Here is a 20547-nt window from a genome sequence, read left to right as displayed (position 1 = left end):
AAAAGATGCCCAATAGGGAGAATAAAAATACCGAGGATTACAGAGGTCAAGGGAGTAGAGCTTCTGAGAAGTCATGAAGTATCAAATACTGCTAAGAAAGAGGCTCAATAAGATCAAGACTGAAAAATATACATTGCATTAAGCAACTGTGGAGTCCTGGTGACACTGACTAGAAAAAAATATCAGTCAAAGATGGAGACAAAGGAAGACCAAAGTGGGTTGAGGAAGTGTAGATTTCTGTCTTTGAGAATTCAGACGACATAAAAAAGAGAAAGACTGTATATAGCTAAGAAAGATCCAGTCAAGGGAAGGTTTCTGTAATTTCTGTAGGTTCTCTAGGTTGGAAGAGAATGTCTGTCGGCTACAGAGAAGGAAACATCAAAGGGCATGACAGATAAGACAGGAGGCTGGTATGAGGTGTACAGGTAGAGGAATCATCTTTATGCAGAACAGAGAGATTCTTACTGAGAAAGGAGAAAAGAAAAAAAGTGTATTAGGTTGGTGCGAAAGTAATTACGGTCTTTGCCATTAAAAGTAATGGAAAGACCTCAATTACTTTTGCACCAACCTAATAGATACATTTGAAGAAAATGTACAGGGAGATTGAGAAAGTTCAAGATTAAAGGATTCCACTTCCTCCATGAACTAGAAGGCAATGTCATCTGCTAGAAGGAGATTGATTTCAAGAATTAAGGAAAGGGGAACATTTTTAATAGTCCTACAGTCACTAATTTCTCTAGAAAAAGTGAAAACATTAACTGGCAAAACTGAGAATCCATGTGAAGTTGGGGAACAGGTATTTGGGGTGGCACTAATCCTCATATTTGTAGAATTAGGTACACGCAGTATGAGTAACCATCCTTTTATCAATTCCTTACTTCAAAAATAAGACCATGTTTTAAAAAGAGAAGTTTATTTCTGTTCCAATTACCTGTGGTGAACATCTCCCATACCTCAGCACCAACACAGAATGTTGGCTTCACTAGCTCACAAAGCCAACAGTGTAGCACCAGAGAAAGAATAAAAGACTGGCTTCCACACTTGCTGGGAAAGGCTGGTGCTTCGTGCATCACTGTCCAGGTTGTCCGGGCCCTCTCCCCAACATTGTCCCTGTTCTTCTGGCTGCCCACTGTGTAGGAAAGTGCCTGGTAGTTGACGCACTATGAGGGCCTGAGCACTGACCCCTCTCCCACCTTTGAACTCCCATCCCACTGGTGATGCTGGAAGGTCAGGAAGCTTCGTGGCAGCAGGGGCCCAGGCGATACATAGAGACCTGCAGAGCTCACACAGGCCGCCGAGCTCATGCTCACTTCTGTGGCAGACTTCATAAGGCTCTGCTCTTTGACTGGCGTTGAGTTTATGTGAAAGTAATTAACAGTAATTAATCCTTAATTACAGTAATTAGCCAAGTCGCAGTAAATTAAACCACATCTGGAGCAGATGAGGGCTTTCGAATGGGAGGCAAAGAGAGGCGACAATCGGGGAGATGCTGAATTCATCTGACAGCATCTGATTAAGTCTACCTGTTGCTGGCAGCCTCATTTGCATGTTGTTTTTGTTTGCATTTCCCAGTAACCCTTTCAACGGCATTCACAGTGTGGACCTCTTGGTCCCTGCTTAAATACCAGTTAGGCAGCCCTGCTGCCACAATATGAGGGAGTCCCTTCATATCCAGCAGGGTGGTTGGGTTTGCCCGGGCTTTATTTATGTTTCCCCCGCTCCCTTCTAACAAACAAAAATATAAATAGCAGGGACCTCATCAAGTGACAGGCTGAAATCAGAAGAGAAGCCAAGAGAGTTTTTTTTTTTTTTTTGGCTGATGAAAGGAGAAGATGATATGAGCCATTAACATGTCTGATGGGAGTAGGGAAGCAGAGGGTAGGAAAATGGCAAAAGATACTTGCAAAAATAGGTCAAGTAGGTCATCCTCTTATGGAGAAGTCCCTAGAGCCTACAGAGAGGGAGTCCAGCCTGCAGTAGACCTGTTGCCCATATGTCAGAAACACAGATACAAGTGTGCACATGCATGCATGCGCGTGCGCCCATACACACACACACACATAAACACGGAAAGCAATCGCAAAAAACACTGGAGTCCTCCATTTTTCTGACCTTATTCTGATGAATGCTACCCCTCTATGCATTATGTTTTTGCACATTAAACAACAAAACACATGCACATGAAAGAAAATGTAAACATGCAGTAAAATATAGTGATAAAAATAAAAACTACCCAAAATGCCACCATCTACAGATGGGTGATGGCAAATCTTAAAAAGACAAAAAATATGGCAAAATACTGTAAAAGAATAATTATTCTAGTTGCTTCTTTAGCACCAAGGGGACAGAGCTGACTGAGTTCTTTTGACTTTGTGTCCTGTCTCTGCTCTGGTCTTGATTAAACTTACGCAAAGCAGTACTTTTCCTGGGTTGTGAATCTTGGAGGTTGCCCTGTCAGACTGGTGAGATCCCAGTTTAGCTGTGCTAGCTAAAGCAAGGAGAACAGAGAGAGCCATAGATACTTTTGCTTAGTAAAATCTTTCTTTGAGGGTAGGGACTGGAGTATGGAACCTTTTCAGAGGAATGAGAGGGGCTTGTGACGAAAGGGTAGAGGAGGGAATACCTCCCTGCAAAATCTTACACAACTAACTAATGTCATAAGGCCGAGGATGAGAAAGTAGCACTTAACTGTTTCATCCTCATCACACATAAAGCATTCCAAAGACCCATATCTCCTACTACTGAGGTGTGTGCTGGACAGGTCAAGACATCCATATGACTGGCTTCTGGGCACACAGCAGCATCACCAGGCCACAGATAAGGCAGGAGCTTCAGGTAACTGATCTGCACCAGTCTATTGCAATCTCTTTCCCCAACAATGCCACCAACTCTGGGACTAACTGTTGATGGCTGTATTCTTGGAATAGGGCAGAACTAATTGACAAGAAGTGGATTCACTAACTCCATGCTCTAACCAGCTGATCCACCTGCCATCCCTAACTTCCATTGCCTTCTGCTACTCTCACAGTGATTTATGGTGGCCTTCAGATATCCTGAAGCCCTCCAGGGTTTACCCCAACAATAAATGGCTCTGCTGTTTACCAGCTATATAACACTGGGGCAGGTTTAGAAACTAAGTCTGTTTCTAAATATTTGAAGTGGGATAAAATGGAATCAACATCATCAAATTATTGGGAAGATTAAATGAGACAACGAATGTACAATGCTTGCCACAGTGCCTGATGCAGAGGAAATATTCAGTAATATTTACTTATTATATTAATTATTGTTATAATGATTTTTATTATCTGTCTTTTGCTTATTATACTTATACTGAGAAGCAGTACAGTGTACTGATCAAAAGCACAGACTTTTGAGTCAGACTGCCTGCCTAGGTTGATTAAATATGCCACTTATAAGCTGTGTGACCTTCAGCAAGTTGCCTAACCTCTCTAGGACTCAGGTTCTTCTTAACTGTAAAAGAGAGATAATAATATACCTACCATATCTACTTCTTTCAAAAGGTTAAATAAACTGCCTGAAACATGTTGAGAATAGAACAAAGCATATACCTGTAGTAAATGCCAAATAAGTGCTTCCTATTAGTTACATGTATGTATATGTCTATATTATGTATATATACATATTTACACAACATCTTTGAAATCTTGATATCCATATTAAAAGTTTGTGTTAATTTGCATAAATAAATTCTTACAAAATGTTTTTGGATGATAAAGATAAGGAAAAAAAGGAAGGAAAAAAAGAAGCACAAGGATAAATAGCAGAAGGTAATTCAGTAAGCAGAATCTGTCCATTTCATAGTGAGCAGATCTCTCAATAGGTTATCATTTAGGGAAAACTCACTTCATATCAATAAAGAGGCTCAATTTGATGCAGGCAGTCTAAGATTAATTTCCTACTCACTGTAAGAATTCAACCACATATTTTTATTTTTTACTTTTTTAAACCTCTGAGGTTAGTTACCAAGTATTCCTGGATGCTGCCTTGAAAATTCTGCTTGAAAATGCTTGTCAACCACCTTTATTCAGATGTCCTACAAAATGTACTGAAAAGAGAAGTGGCTATTGCAAGTTGAACAGAGAAGAGTATAAACGCCTAACACAATGCTGAGGAGCCTACCAGCAGTAACCCTACAATTATCTTGTGGTTTCCTAGAAGTTATAATGAGCTGGCCCACTTGGCGTATCAAATTCCTCCTGACTGGTTTTGTAGTTCTCACCCATGCAGAGACACAGCTCTATGAAGAAAAATAACAGGCCATTTAAACTGAAATATGTTGCGGTGGGTGGGGAGAATATCGGGAAAGAGATGCATCCTGCAGTTAAAAATTACTCAACCGGTGTTATAAAGTTAAAAACCAGAGGCCCTGAATAAAAAAATTTTTATATACGCATTTTTGGGAAAATAATTCTTTGGCTGAGAAAGCTTCCCTCCTTCTGTTGAATGAAGTATGTTTAGTTAACATTAATGCCCATATTTTCTGCATTTCTTCCAATTTCATTATTCTGGCCTTGTCTAAATCAAAATACATTATAATTCTGAATAATGGGCTATCTGCTGCCTGTGGGGAAATGTTATAATGATAATAAATAATTTCTGAAAATTATGAATTACTTCTATCCTTTTGGAAAACAAGCAAATTATTGGTTTGCACAGGAAATGGGAGCACATTTGTGCAGAACCTTTTCAACACTTGTGGGCTTCTTGCTCACTTCTCCAAGAAGCAAGGCCTAAAATGGTTCACCAATCTATTTCTCTCTCTCTCTCTCTCTTTTTTTTTTTTTGTTAAGACAAGATCTCCTTTGTCACCCAAGCTGGAGTGTAGTGGCGCGATCATGGCTCATTGCAGCCTCGGTCTCCCAGGCTCAAGCAATCCTTCCACCTCAGCCTCCAGACTAGCTGGAACTACAGGCACATATCACCAAGCCTGGCTAATTTTTTAATTAAGACAGGGTCTACTATGTGGCCCAGGCTGGTCTTGAACTCCTGGACTCAAGCAATTCTCCCACTCTGGCCTCCCAAAGTGATAGGATTACAGGCATGAGCCACCACGCCCAGCCTGGCTCACCTCTCTTAACTATAACCATACCAAATGAAGAATGAATAGGAAGGCGCTATCTCCACTTTTTGTTCATTTGTTTCTTTTCTCATATCCTCTGCAGATGACGAAGGGAGCACACAAATGTAGACAAGTCACACTAAAACATCAATGAGGTTAAGAACCTCCCACTCAGACCAGGGATAGATAACTTTTCACAAGTACTTCCTACAGGTTGGGAGAGGGGAGTACTGACTGCTGATCTGGAGGCTGGGACAAAGACTTCTGGTGCACAAGCAAAAAGAAGCCTTATATACCATTTACCTGTATCCAAATTTCCAGCAGCCAACGATGGCGAAGAGCCTCATAGCAGATGTGGCAGTGGCCGCCACTTCCCATGACAAAGGGAGGTAGGCATGATTCATCTCTAGTGCATGGGGACGGTTGCCTTTTGCCCCAAATCAACTCAAGACCCCTTTCCACCATATGTCTGTATGTAACTCTAAATGCATCTCTAAGACTTAAGAATAAAAAGCCACTGCTACCTGGCAAGTGGATGAGGCAAAAGAGAAGACATACCCCAAAGAACTATAGCACTCTGCTCCAAATTACAGAACTTTCTAAACTATGTTAGTACTTACAAACTGTTAAAATCTCCTGTATAAGAATTACATTCCTCTGAATTATAACCTGATTTAGTTTTATTAATGTGACACAGTGAATGGTAAATAGAACTACTTAGGCATAATCCCTGTCTTCTAGAATCTTACAATCAAAAACAACAGAATTGTAGAGATTTTCTTAGATCATAAGGCAGATATTAAGGGCACACATTAAATGAATACATAAATTAAGTAAGTTAATTACTGAATTTCATTACATGTTCATTATGAGCATGCCAAGGGGTGAATGCAATAACTCAGGAGATGCTAAAGGGTCAACATCTTCATCCCTAGGGGTGTGTAACTTAATAAAAGACAAAGCTTGGTGTTGAGCTCCAGCAAAACCGTAACACCATATTGCACTGCTCAAGCATCTCACCAAAATGAAGTGATCAAAAATAGTAGCTGAGGGAACACAGAAAACCAAAGCGAAGGTTTCTTCCTGCATTATGGAAGCATAAGTGAATCTCTTGGGGGTAAAAACAGCACTAAGACAAAAGCTGAGCCCCAATTCTGCCTCCACATGAAGGGATTCTGACAATGCCATTTCGCCTAGAAGTGCCTCTGGAACCTCGATGTTCCAGACGGGCCTCTAGATCCCCTAGATGTGCTTGAAGAACTCTTTTTTGAAGAACTGTAAAATTGTTTCACAGTGTGAGGTACAGAGCTGCTTTTACTAGTAAAACATTATTTTGTCATTATAGGTTATAGGAAATACTTATCTTCCCAGAAGACTTTCTAAAGACCATTTTATACTCCATAGACCTCTATTTTATACTCAATAGATGTCAAGCGTAGTGCTAATTCAATGTGGTAAGTGGCTATGCTTACAATTTTATAAAATTCCCTGATGTGGCTTTAGCATGAATCTATTTATATCCCAGATGTGACCAGGATGTTTTGGTTAATTCATTGGTTCCAGCCATATTTATGGCTGAATGCCACATGATTGAGTAAACAGATCACGTGGCAATCTTTGCTAATCACTGTTTGCATGGCTAAAATAACTGGGCCAGCAGGGTCATTGTCTAGCTATTCAAGTAATGTACAAGTAGACTTAGGAATCATCATCCTCATCCTGTCCCATTTTCTCTACACTAAACCCATGGCAGGGAAAGACCATAGTCTCTGTAAATTTTAATCAATGTATTTGAATCAAAAGATTCTGTTCCTGGAGGAGGCAACCGTGGGTTGACCAAAACGTTTGTATGCAAAAAGAAAATGCTCACAGGTAAACACTGGGCACAAACTCTGATCATTCCACTATAGCTACAAATTATTTTTAATTTTGTTAAAAACAGATTAAGCTTTTAAGGTTAAAATGGTTATAGAAGAAACCAGGCAGTATAACACTTTTCCAGTAAGATAACATCTAATTCACCCAGGGCAGTCAGAAACTTTCAGTTGAACACAAGAGAAGAAAATTCCAGAAGCTCTAAGGTGGTTAAATTTCATTTCCAAATCCTGGGGTCATCGAAGACTCCATGTACCAACTGAAAAATAAGACAACCAATCCCATCATGGTGCCAACCACTCTAGTTGTCTTGGGCAAGTCACTTATTTATCCATCTTGGCTTTCTTGCTCAAAAATGATGGATAGCTACACCTCACAGTGAGGATTCAGTCATGTAAGCAAAGTGCCTTGAAGACAGGAAGCCAGACATTATAGGAGCATAATTTTTGCCCTGAAATGCATTTGGTATGGGTTGGGCATCAGATGTTTCTGATTTGTGAATTAGTCTGAGAATGTTAGACATGCAATGGTTTAAGGATTGCTAGGAGCAAAACAGAACCATGTTGTGTGTTTATGGGTAATCAGCCAGTTTGGCAAACCACCAGTGGCTGAAACTTGTACGGAAGCAGAAAGGCGTTAGAGAAGATAAGGCCATGCAAGCAGAAGCAAGTTAGGGGAAGCACGCAGATCAAGAGAGGAGCAAAGAGAGCTGATGTGCAGAACATGGTTACACGGGAGGCCCTTGAATCCTAAGGAGGTATCCCACTGGTACAACTTCCTCCTAGCGTTTCTGGTTAACTATGTGAACACACAGGCAGACAGATCAAGCCGCTATGTGAGGGACAAATAAACATACTGAAGACCTAAAAATGTGAAGTCAGCTGAGCCTCAATTCAATCCAAACCTTTGGGGGCTTATGCACCATTAGTCTGTATCATGGCCTCCAGTCATTTGTCCCTCTAGAACAGGAACTCTGAAAGGCCTGACAAAGAAGAATGGACAATCACAGATGCTGGTTTTGCCTTCTCATTCCCTGCAAGTCTACTGGATGCAGGAAGGGGGTGGGGGGTTCAAGCTGCCTGCTTAGGAGCTTAAACATGACAAGGATTTTCTAATGAAAAGCTAACCCAGAGATTCCTCTTTTTCCTATGATACCACAGCATCCATCATTCAAAAACCGAAAAAGGACCCACCTGTATAGGCATCTTTAAAAAGACAATAAAGGGATCCGAGCAATTGTCTGCAGAGTACATTGTAAAACACTCCGCAAGTTATGTAAACAGCCTGGATGTTACACTGCCTCTCACACCTGGAGAGGCAACAAAGATGAATGCTGCATATTTGCCTGAAAGAGGAATACAAGAAAGGAAGAGTGGTTTAGAAATTGCAGACCATTCCCCATTTTAATGAGGCACTTGAGTTGCTTTCCCCTCATTTTGTTGCTACTAGAATGGGCACTAAAAAAAAAAAAAAAAAAAAAAAAAAAAAAAAAAAAAAATCTGCAGCTATTGCAATGGGCATCTGTGAAGAAAAATAAGATATTAGACATGAAACATATCATTAACACTGTCTAGACGCAAGCTTGTCCAACTGTGGCCCATGAGCCACATGCGGCCCAGACCAGCTTTGAATGTGGCCCAACACAAACTTACAAACTTTCTTAAACCATTATAAGATTTTTTTGTGATTTTCTTTTACCTCATCAGCTATTGTTAGTGTTAGTGTATTTTTATATGTGGCACAAGACAATTCATCTTCTTCCATTGTGGCCCAGGGAAGCCAAAAGAGTGGCCAAGGGAAGCCTGGCTAGAGAAGTCATTTGTATTTTCTGTTTGTATGACATACATATATGAGAGAGGGAGAAAGAGAAAGAGCACTTACGGGTGAGAAATCCATGGGCCTGGAAGCTCAGTAGAGTTCCTGAATGTTTGGATTTGACTTACGACCTTTTGAACTGCAGAAGCAACGGTTCTGATGGCACGTTCTGCAGGACCTCCATGCAACAAAGACTTGTAACCCAGTATCACATTTTCTGTTCAAACAACATTCTTTTGGGGCCAGGGAAGGGTAAATCAAAATCAATTAAAATGCTTTTGAACTTCTAAGAAAGTCATTCCAGGTTTTAGTTGAAAGAACCTTGTTTCTGGTAAGCATACGTGTTCAGGTAGACCCACAGACTACCCCTAACCTGCATGCAGATTATATTATTTGGAAATAGAAGCTGAGTTCAGTAAACACTCCCCACACTTCAGCTCCTTCCAGGCTGTGGGCTCTGGCCCTTCTTCTCATCTGCACAGTTCAAATTAATTATACACTTTAATTTCATGAATTATTAATTTGATTCTGACTCGGCAGCTTATGATTATCCAGCGCTACAGACTATACAATTCCAGCTTCATTAAAACATCACCAGCTGCCTGAGAGACAGACATTAAATAGGGGAGAGCAATAATAAAATTAAGCTTCCGGCGCATAGCAACAGAGTCTTCCTCAGTCACAGGCAGTGCAGGGCTCTGCCGCCTGGCTGGCCCAGGCAGAAAGGAAAACGTCCTTTTAGACAAGTCCACGCCCCTTCTCTGAATGTGTTTCTTGGCCTTCCACCATGCACACAACCTCAGATGGTCAGATGGCATGACTGAGGGTTTGTATATTCATCTATCTATCTCTCCCTGCAACCCCTTTCATATGCCCGCCACCCCTGCTCGTCCAACATTAATTCTTTGATGACTGCCAATGCTCCAAGCACATCCAGTCTGGCCACCTCCCAGTGTTTGCGAGACTGCCAGCTTCTGGGAAGGGTTCACAACTGCTGACAGCTTAGCAGGTAGAGTGGAGCATAAGCCTCTAAAGAGTTAGCCCAAGAAACTCCTCTGCACTGTGCCTCTCTTCCCTCTCTTTGGCTTCTTGGTTTAAGAAGCAGTAGTCTGGTGCCAGGAAAGGGATTGGGTTTTAGTAGGAGTGTCCAATATGTCCAGTATATTACTTCACTATTTGGGGGTGACAGATGCATAATGCCCAATCTGGGTACATGTACAATCTGGTACATGATAGGTGCTCAATCAGTACAAGTTCCCTTACACCATCCTCGCATTTATAAAATGAGAGCATTGAGCTCCTAATCTCTAAAGCTCCTTTCCATGCTGATTTCTGAACCTCTGTATAGAAAGTTCACCATTTCTGCAAACCATATGACCCTAAGATACATCTGATGACTCTCCCCCAGAAATTCCATGCTTACTGTTAACAGGGAGTACTAAAAAATCATACATGTATAACTCAACAAGATCACGGCTATAAGGTTTGGAAGAATCCTCTTGGAAATCACCCTGGGCAGTTGCTCTTCAAAAAGGAGTCCTGAGCAGTGCTTCTGCACCCTTTGTGAAGTTCATACCCTTCTTCAAAGGGTTCAAGAAATCACTGGTTGCTAAGGCATGGTCTTAGTTGGATAAGCATCATGAAAGTAAGTGACAAAGAAGAAAAATGACCAAAACAAAGAAAAGAATGAGGAACAGAATCTTGATGGTCAGTGGAAGAGGAGGGGAAGAGAGAGGAGGAGAGGGAGAGAGATCCAAACATCTTTTTTTCTTCCATTTTGTATACAAAAAGCCCAGTTAGGCATGCAGAGTCTTCTGTGGATTAATATACTTCTTCAAATAAATAAAACCACAGCACTTTCTCCCAGTAACTTTGTGGCAAAACAATTTGTAGAAGGAAAAGGTTGGAATTTAGACATTCCATTTAGCTGCTTCAGAAATCTAAAGACCCCAAACCTTGTGGGATTTCAAATCGATGGAATTAATTAAGGGAGATGTCCAGCACTCTCCACTAAGTAATCAGCAGGTACAGTAGACCTGAAAGTCTATAAAGAAAAATGGAACCAGATGACATTGAGGGAGGCAGCAGGGATTAAAAAATGAGGATCCAAATGGGAAAGGTGCCCACCCATTGATCGCAGCATAAGAGATTAAGGCTTCAATGAGCAGCAAGAAGATTCTGTAACAGAAAATGGTTGCAGAGCATGAGCTTAGGCCCTGAAGATATCTATAATCAGTGACAGCCAGGCATAGACAGACAGGGCACCATTTGCCCAGGAGCCAGGACCTGTAAAGAGTCGGTCAGGGGGTAAGATATAAAACTGGGTTTAAAAGATGTTAGTAGTATATAGGATAGTGTATCATTTTATATCATGTCATATTTATTTTCTATTTCTTTCACTAAAATGGAAGCTCCATGAAGGTAAGAACTTTGTGTGTTCTGTCCACTGTTGGATCCTCAGTGCCTAGAATATAGCCTGTCACAAAAAGATACTCATTCATATTTTGTAAAGGGAATAGGTAACATGAACACAGGAATGAAGCACTGTAAGTGAAAATAGGCACCCTGCTAATCCTTAAGCGTGATTCCCCATTTCCCTGGACAGGGCAGAGTCAAGCCGAGAAGGAGGAGCCACAGGCCAGCTGTTAATGAGACACTAAATAAAACGTTCAGTATTCATACCTGTGGAACATGGGTGAACCTTCTGGTAACTCGATTTTTCACACCAATGACAGCAAATGAGAAAGTGAGAGAAGCTAGATAAATGTTTTTGAAAGCATTACTGCAGTGGAAAATAACTGCACTCTCAGGACACAGCACTGTAGCTCAAAGAATTCAATTGTTTTCGCTTTTAAGTCATTATCCTTCTTCCTCCATTCTCTTCCAGTCCTGTATAAGAAAATACACACACACACACACACACACTACACTGCCACCCAATTTTACAGATGGAGTGTCACCGAGATTTGGAGCAGTGCCCTAAACAGAATTCTGGCCACACTGAGAATCAAGTAGAAAGCCTTAAGACCCCATGGCTCCCAGGTTCATATGCAGCAGTCAAATGCCTGCTCAAGGGCCCAAAGGGGAGAAAAGCAGTGAGTCCCCTGTTCCTCCGTGCTCAGCTGACCTTTCCACCACAAAGCATGACTAGAAAAAGCCCCCTGCATGATGATGCCAAGAGGCAAATTCCAGAAATGGGAGTAGACAGTTTCCGATGAACCCTAGAATGCTTACAGACTCGCAGGATTAGAAGAAACCTTTATAGACACGTACACTTATCCTTGCTTGCTCGGCCATCTTCTCACTGGTTCAAGTAAACAGAACATGATGCCTACCAAAGATATCCTGACATGCTTCTGAAGAGAGAGGCTCCTTCCCCCTGCTCAAGAGGATGAACCTAAAATTTGTTGCAATGAAGGCACAGTCACTGTAAATATACCTCAGGAAGGAAACCGCAGAAACCCTAAGTCAACCACAGTTCCAGTACAGAGGAAGCCCTCCCTTGGACAGAGGTCATAAGGCTAAACAAGCAATGTTCCATTGGACACCTCTGTTACCTTAATAGGCATCTCATCACCTCCCTGCCCAAACGCCACTGCTATTCATACTGAATAAGACATTAGCTAGACCTGGAGGCAGGTCTAATGATAATATTTCTTCACTTGAGCCCCCGGTTTGGTCACTGGCAGAAGGTATCCTTGAGGGGCTTCTGTTTATGTCAGCAGATGTTAGCCTGAGAAGTAGCAGCTTTTGTTTCCATGACTTCTTCCAAATGAAGTCAGAAGCCTCCAGGGTTCTCAGATACATCAGAGAGTTCTAGGGGCATTGCTTCCTTTGTGGCCAGAACTATAATGTGGGGAGGGAAATGCTGACTTTCATTGCACAGTAGAAAATGTCAGTCATATTTCCAAGAATCTCTCAAAGGGGTCAGCATGTTCACTTCAGGATCCTTGGCAGTACGGGTGACTTCACATACAGTAAAAGATCCAGTAGGCTCTGGCATCTAAGAGCTTAGAATCCAGACATGGTGAAGTTTCCCATGAGCCCCAGATATCCACAAAATTGCCTGTGGTCATTAAACCCACAGGACTGTTAAAAAAAATAAAATACAGAAGTATGCAGAACAATGAAGGAAGGATTTTCTAAAACAAAAAACACAATCTTTCATTGTTTCCCCTGTCTTTACAATAAAAACACAGTTTTGGACCTGTCTGGACAAGGGGACTTTCCAGTTTCCATGTGAGGCTGGACATTTTGCATTCGATACAAATTAGTTCCTCAAAATCAGAATCAATTGTCATAAAATGTAGGGAAGTATTTTCCCACGGGGCAAGCATTTGTGGTAAAACTGGAAATGTTCAACTTGATTATAATGCTTCACGAAAAGGTCAGCGTGGGATTTCAGAGCTTTACCTTGAGGATGTTAACTCTGTTTGCAGGCAGGGTGAAATGGGAAGAGTGAGTTTGCCCAGGCTTGCCATGTCCACATTGCTCTGATCACCTGTCACAGGGCCAGCAGCAGACCGTGTGCCTCAGAAAACAAATGAATGCATGTATACACACGCACACTTTAGACACACACATACCCCCCATGTGCTTTCCAGTGCCCAGACACCTCCAAATTCGATGACAGAAAGAGTGTGCCAATGTGGGTATATTCATTGGATAAGACAAAAACAACATTACTAACAGTAATCTAAAACAACAGGTCTCAATTCACTGGGACATGGCATAGCATCACCTGGAGAGCTTTCCAAAACTACAAATGCCTGCGCCTCCCCGTATCCAGAAATTCTGATTCAGAGCATGCACAAATATTAAAAAGGCCCCCAGGTAATTATAATATGCCATATACCTACTCCCTGATTTCCTGTAGAGACAATATTTACAAAGCCAATTAATAGCCTAAAGCTTTTACTCAGGACAAGTAAAAATGGCTACCACTTCCTGATGTCCAGGTTCTGGCTGTATATTTGTCATAGAACTTCATTATACTCAGAATCATGGTTCACATTCCACAATTGACTCTACACATCAGACCATGAGCTTTCTAACCCTACCTCTAACAGAATGAAACACAGACAGAAGAATTTCTCCTAACCCTACCCCAGATTTAAACCTGAAGGAGAGTGATAGAAAAATGGCTCATCATTGAGTTGCTTGCTCCTGGGACACCATCCTAACCATTTGTTCTCTCTCACAGACTGGCATTTCTGTGTAGGTCTCTTTTGCAGCTCCTGGTAGCCCCTAGCTTGTTCAGTTTATCAGATCTGACGGGGTCATTGCCTGTGAGCAAGGCTGAGTAGAATTCTGAAACACTTTTTTTTTTAATCAGCCAAAAGTTGTCATTTGGCCAGATCCTGAGGGTGAGCCCCTCCTTACTCAGTAAAGCTGAGTGTGATTCAACTTGGAGGAGAGGGACTTACTATGAAAACTAGAAAAATAGGAAAACAATTTCAGTTTTAAGAGACCAAAATTATGCCTTACTTGCAAGTCACAACATTTTTACATTTTGAAATCTAAAATTCTGAAACAGACCTCTTTTTCAAAACTAATTCCTGCCACAATGATAAGAGTCTTTCAATATCTCCACCATATTCACACAAAGTCAAAGAGTCAAAAGCATTCTGAGTCTCCGGCAACCATCAGTCAGGCAACCTCTGTCATTGGCTCTGATTTTACGAAGCGGTAGAGGTGGGCTGGGCTCATCCTCAAAGCCTAGGCAATCCAGAGTTTGGCTGCCCATGTGCTTCTATGTCATTGCCAGGTGAAAACTCATGTGATAACAAGAAGCACAGTGATTCCACAGAACCATTTTGAACACTCCATTTGTCACCCAAATCTTAAATACCCCTGGTTGTCAGGTATTCCTCATGAGCCTATATGTACCAGAGTTAGTCCTATGGGAACAACGCCCATTAGTGAAGGTCACCCCACCCTGACCACTCAGAGTTATGTCCTCAAAGTTCCTAAATGTGATACAACTGGAAGCTTTAATTGGCAGAAGATTTTCACCCCAGGCATGGCTATCTTTGTGGAGGTTGTGTATGATGAATTCTTTTGCCCAAAACACCTAGATTCTCCAAAATTACCTTGAATATGCTGCAATGCCAACAATGCAAGTTTTTATTACACATTAATGTATATGGCAAATTTAGAGTCAAAAAAGAAGGTAAAACATGCCACATTCGTGGTAAGTCCAAATGGAAACACAACTTTATCCACAGTTTAGGAATCAGACTTGGATCTGACTTCCAACTCTGTGACTTAAAGCATGTGTCCCCTTGGGCAAGATACTTACTTACTTTGAACCTCAGTTTTGAATCTACGCAAATGGGGATAATGTCATTTGCCCTGATATTCTTTTTGAGAATTAAATCAACAAATATGGTGTCTGACACAGTACATGCTTAATAAAAGATTGCTAGTATATTAACAGTTGTTATTATTATGTTATTATAGATTATCTTCTCACTGAAGTTATGCTAGGTACTACTTCTTAGTGAAGAACAAGTCCTGGACAGGGAGCAGGTAATATTAATACCACTTACTGCTCTGAAACCACCATCTTCCCCTAGACAATGACTATTAACTTGTTTTTGAGCTCTACCTCTGACGCCTTCAGCCAAGGCACACCTGTTTCCAGGTAAGACTAGATGAAATAAATGCTTTGTTTCATTTCTCCATTGGAAATGAGGTCTTGGTCCATGTTGAGGATGTGTCAGGGGTGTGTCTGTTCTAAGTTTCTGGAGCCACTGCACACCTGCTCGAGTAGCTGAAATGCATACTCCGACCATCTCAGAGCTACAGAAGTCCCAGTTGCTGCTGGAAGTATTTTTAGCTGCATTATTTATTTGAACACCTGCCTGATAATCCTAGACAGAGCTCAGTCTGGGAGGGGAAGGGCCACCAGAACACCCAAGCGTTCCTTCCCAATATGGTTGCATTTGCTAATCTGTACCCACCCTGTGGCCAAGAAGAGCCTCTCTCTTCCCAAAGAGTGGTTCTGATCACAACACACCACAGGCAAATAAAAGTCTCCAAAGAAATACCTCCAGTGTCATATTCTTAAACAGGACCTCATAAAACCCAAGAACCTTAATGCCAATGCCATGTGAAACACTGAGCCTCTCATCCTGGCAGCTATGAACATATTAGTCACCCTCAGCTATCCTTCCGGTGGTGACACACTACTAACCAGTATCACTTCCTTTATTTTACCCGTACAAAAACTGAGATGCAGAGAAAATGGCTATAAAAATGCTGTCCTCTTTCTGACCATTCTGCGTTCGTGTATTTGGTTCTTCTCAAATATAATGTCCTGCTGCTGACTTCAACCGTGCCCATTTTTCAGTTCATAGCCTCAACTCCTTTCTCTTAACTATCAACTCCCCACCACAAACACCCTGAAACTTAACTGCTCTCTGTCTCCGAAACTGCATATTGTCTGTATTCCAGTATTTAATGTTTTAATTATGTTCCATGTTGAACTGTCTGGCACCCAGGATGTGCTCAACAAATTGAAAGGATGATTTTTAGGTCTTGTAAGAAAGATACTATGCATGTTTTGGCTTTTATTTTTTCGTTAATAGATTCTTTTTTTTTCTTCTCTTCGTGTATTTCTGTGTGTGTGTGTGTGTGTGTGTGTGTGTGTGTGTGTGTGTGTGTAGAGATGACATTTCCCATGTTGCCCAGGCTGGTCTCAAACTAGGCTCAAGCGAACTTCCTGCTTTGGCCTCCCAAAGTGTTGGCATTACAGGCGTGAGCCACCACACTTGGCCTTTCACAGCTTCTAACTCAGTACCAGAGACTTATCAGGTACAGAATAAAAGGTTGCAGATTGACTGAAAGCCCCTCTCAAGGCCGCACTGCCATCTGCCATCATCAGAATGTTTACAGATCAAAATTCTTGCTGCTGGCACTTAGGTCTGGCTCACCAGGTCATGCTTTCTCTGCTCATTCTGCCTTGGGCTAAATTGCCTAATTTTTCAATATGTAGGCTACATATTCTTTTCAAGGGGGTAAGGATCTTATTATTTATTTAACTCACTAGAGTCTTAAGTGACTGTTTATGAAAGGTTCTGAGATCCCAGAAGGAACGATGTGGCATTTAGTGCAAAGCACCACTGCCTTGCATAGATCAGTGGGTGGTGTGTACAGACATACACATAAAAACACTACTTGGCAGTCACCACACACATTGTTTTTGTATGATCTGAAAACATCTTGCTGGCATAATTCATAAGCAGAATGTCTTTATATTTAATGACCCAAATATGCCAGTCACGTGCTTCTGAAAAGCAAGTTAGATCCAATAAAACAGCAATTTTGTTAACCCTCCTCACCACCTCCCCACTAAAATAATCTCTGCTTTAAATTCTGACCTCTCTGAATGGCTGCTTTGAGAAGTATAAGTGGGCAATAGGCCTTTGTAAGCCATCATCTCATAGTGTAGGCATGAGAGGAGGCGTGGAATACAAATGGTCCTGGCCAGTGCGAGTTATAGACCCAAAGATACAGATTTTTAAGGAACTGGTAGAATTTATGCTATGAGAGGAAGAGTTTATCCCGGCTTAGACTTCTGAGTCAGAGAAATAGACTCAAATAATTCACAAAATCCTATTTTAGAAGAGAACAGTCATCCAGTCCAGTTATAGACTTTGAAGGCATGAGCTAGTCAAGCAAAAGTAGACCTTCAGCAATTACTTATCCATTTAACAACTATTTATCAAATACCTATTATGATCCAGGTATTATTCTAAGCACTAGACAACAACAGGAGTTAGATAGATAAGGTCCCCCAGCATGGTCCTGTCTCTTCCCTTCTTCAGGACAAATGACAAGAATGCCATAGCAATATGCTGGGGAGGGTTCTTGGGCAGCTAAGAATACACCAACTCCTGCTACTGAGAACCTCAAAATCAACTGACCCTCAAGATCACTAGGCCTTCGCAGGTCTTCATGAACAACCAACTACAAAGAAAACAAATGACAATAACAAAACTCCATGATTATAATCAGACCTCTGCAGTACCGAAAGGTCTTCCATATACTACCAAAGACATCATCATCATTTTTCACTGTTTCTCCTGAAAGATATTTAACAAATGAATGGCTGAGAATGTGCACACAACTTAGAAGAAAAATCATTTAATTCTGAAGGAGTCATCACTTGCAAAGCCCAATTAAAAGTCATATTCATTCATTCATTCAACTATTCAATAGTGAACATTTATTGAGCAGCTCTGTGTGTAGAGCACTTTATGAGTTAGGTGCCTTGGGAAATACTGAGATGGATGGCACAGTCCCAGCTCTTGAGGAACTTAAAAAAAAAAAAAATCAATGGGGAAATTACAATCTTCATTTTACAGATGAATAAACAGTGGCATGGACAGTTAAGGGATTTATTTTGAATGCTTCATCATAGAACTAAATCACAAAATAGTCATCAAAAAGATGCAAAAGCACTGAGCTAGAAGGTAGAATATCCTAGCTCCAGTCCTGGTTCAGACTCACTGGTCAAGTCCATCCCCTTTCTTGGGTTCTAATACCCTTTACAAAATGAGTGGGTAGTCTTCAGAGTGGGTTCTTCCAGCTCTAGGACGACATAATTCTAACACTTGTGAACAGTAAGGTTTGGTGGTCAGAACTAAAGAACTCAGTCTCTTGACAAAGGGAATGACGTTTAATATGAATTGTTATTGAGAGAATTTAAAGTCCCACCTAAAGGAATATGGAAGCTATTCCATTCCACTGGCTATTATTGCATTTGTTCTTAGAAGATGCTCAGGCCTAAATATCTTCTTCAGTGGACTTTCTAATTGGTATCTCTCCTATCTTAAAATAATGATATAAGGAAGGCTGCAGCCTTTCCCTACATCTCCCTTCAGCCCCTGCTAAGTATCTATAACACAGGGTAATAAGTGTTTGCAAGAACTACATTGCTCCCTGTAAGAATAACTGTTCCAACGATAATGTAACTCACCTATGTGTGATGTGACAAACGGGGGCTTAGCCTACATGTAAAGAACTCTTAATTAAAGGTTTAATAGACAATGAGAGGCTTGAACTAGATCATACATGTAAGATCCCTACCGGCTTTGGCTTTCTATATTACTATGAATTCTGTGAAGACAATATAAAAGATTTCTTTATTGAGTTAATCAGGGAATCTAGAGCATTAACCAAAATCATTTATATTTGGCTTATCAGTGCTTACTTCCAAAAAAGAATAATAGGAATTAGTGTAGAAAAACCTTAGTTTGGATCTTTAAAAACAAACTGTTTAATAATTTCACAACATTTGGAACCCTCCCCAGAGCTGTTCTCTGAACTTGGATGATGTCTCCTAAATTGCCAGTCAGCTGGCCATTTTGCAACACGTGAGCTGTGAAATCATATATGTGACGATCTAAATGACAGAAGAAATGGCTTTGAATCCTTTTGTTTATATTTAATTTTTCCCTTCCTGCTTCGACATATCATTTGTCCTTAATACTTTTATTTTTTGGTCCTAGAGGCACAGGTGGTTCTTATTTCAGGCTGTATGAACAGTTCTGCTATTCAAAGATTAATGAATAAAAGGGCCTTGTAAATAGATTAGCATGATAATGGTAATAATGCTTTCTGCTGCCTTCTGTGCCTACTTCAATCTGTGTGCCCCTGAAAATGCCTCCCCTCCCCCATGCACGGGTTCCTTTCCCCTCTTTCCCACCACCTGATTCTTTCAGTCTTAGGAAGACAAAGTGACCCACGAATCAGGCAGCTGTACAGAAAGCAAGGAGAGGATGGAAGGAAGGGGGAGAAGAGGGGTGGAGAGAGACAGAATAGAGAGTAAAAACCCTAATGTACTTTAAGATAGGAAGGTTTATGCAGAATGTGGAGAAAATACAAGACTCCACTTTTTAATGCAAACAATATCTTCAATCTTCCCCTTCTTTTTATGACACTTGCTGTCTATCTATCACCATTGGAAACTTACCTGTTTTTATTTTAATCACATGTTCCTGACCTCCTACACATACCTTTTATCATAGCTGTTGGAGAGCCATGTTGGAGGTCAAGATTTTAGAGAATTACATCTAGAAGCAAAGGCTAGTTACAGGTTTGGCTTTTCTCTATCACTACATAGAGAAAAGTTCAAAGGGCCTTTCCTTGAAGGTTTTACCAAGAGGCAGAAACTTCTCTGAAAACTTACAACTCCTCCCCAGGGGTTTAGTGTCAGTCATTAACGAATGACTTGGTGGGACCTCTGCTGACATCCTCCTTGAGCCTCAATCAATGTAAGGAGACTGTAAGGATCTCCACACTCAAGACTTGCCTGTGCTCCTTTCCCCGTAGCCTAACCCATCATCTGGCCTCTAGGCATGTGTAAGGATGATGAGTTGGGCAGGGCAAGTCATTCTGGAGGGATGCCATGAAGTCGTCGTCCAGGCAAAATGGATTTAGACAGAAAGCAAAAGTCAGTCCCTAGAGCAGGAGAGAATGTGGAAAGAGACCAGTCTTTCAGAACCGCACACCTATGCCTGCCTGCCTAGGTGGAAAGTCCAACTGCACGGAGACGCTGAACGGAACAGGCAACGGGCCCACACACCAGGCCAGGAAACAGTCACTTCCCTTCCTTTGTCTCCTAAGACCTGCACGTGTTTTCCCTCATTTGAAGGGAGCCCGGAGCACTGGAAGCTGGGCTGACCCTCTGCCTCTCATGGTGATTAACATCCCCCTCCACCTCACTCTGACCCCCAAGGGGGCACACATTACTATCCACCCCACCT

The 20547-nt window shown here is 41.3% G+C and overlaps 1 protein-coding gene across 11 annotated transcripts in view, besides 2 other annotated features; it reads right to left on the bottom strand.

The window, feature by feature from the left end:
- Positions 1 to 20547, bottom strand: part of PBX1 (PBX homeobox 1) — a 326864-nt gene that overhangs the window by 152921 nt on the left and 153396 nt on the right. The gene's annotated exons all lie outside the window — the stretch shown is intronic.
- Positions 1361 to 1655: a silencer, noted in NCBI's record as "tiled region #1770; K562 Repressive non-DNase unmatched - State 23:Low". NCBI's record gives its function as "represses a minimal TATA promoter and a strong SV40 promoter by Sharpr-MPRA in K562 cells {active_cell/tissue: K562}" and the evidence as "EXISTENCE:reporter gene assay evidence [ECO:0000049][PMID:27701403]".
- Positions 15883 to 15992: a silencer, noted in NCBI's record as "silent region_1496". NCBI's record gives its function as "represses an Ori minimal core promoter by ATAC-STARR-seq in GM12878 lymphoblastoid cells {active_cell/tissue: GM12878}" and the evidence as "EXISTENCE:reporter gene assay evidence [ECO:0000049][PMID:35858748]".

The sequence above is a fragment of the Homo sapiens genome, chromosome 1 (assembly GCF_000001405.40).
Source record: "Homo sapiens chromosome 1, GRCh38.p14 Primary Assembly".
NCBI classification, from domain to species: domain Eukaryota; kingdom Metazoa; phylum Chordata; class Mammalia; order Primates; family Hominidae; genus Homo; species Homo sapiens.
The sequence above is the reverse complement of the archived record's forward strand: the minus strand, read 5'-3'. Positions and strand labels throughout refer to the sequence as shown.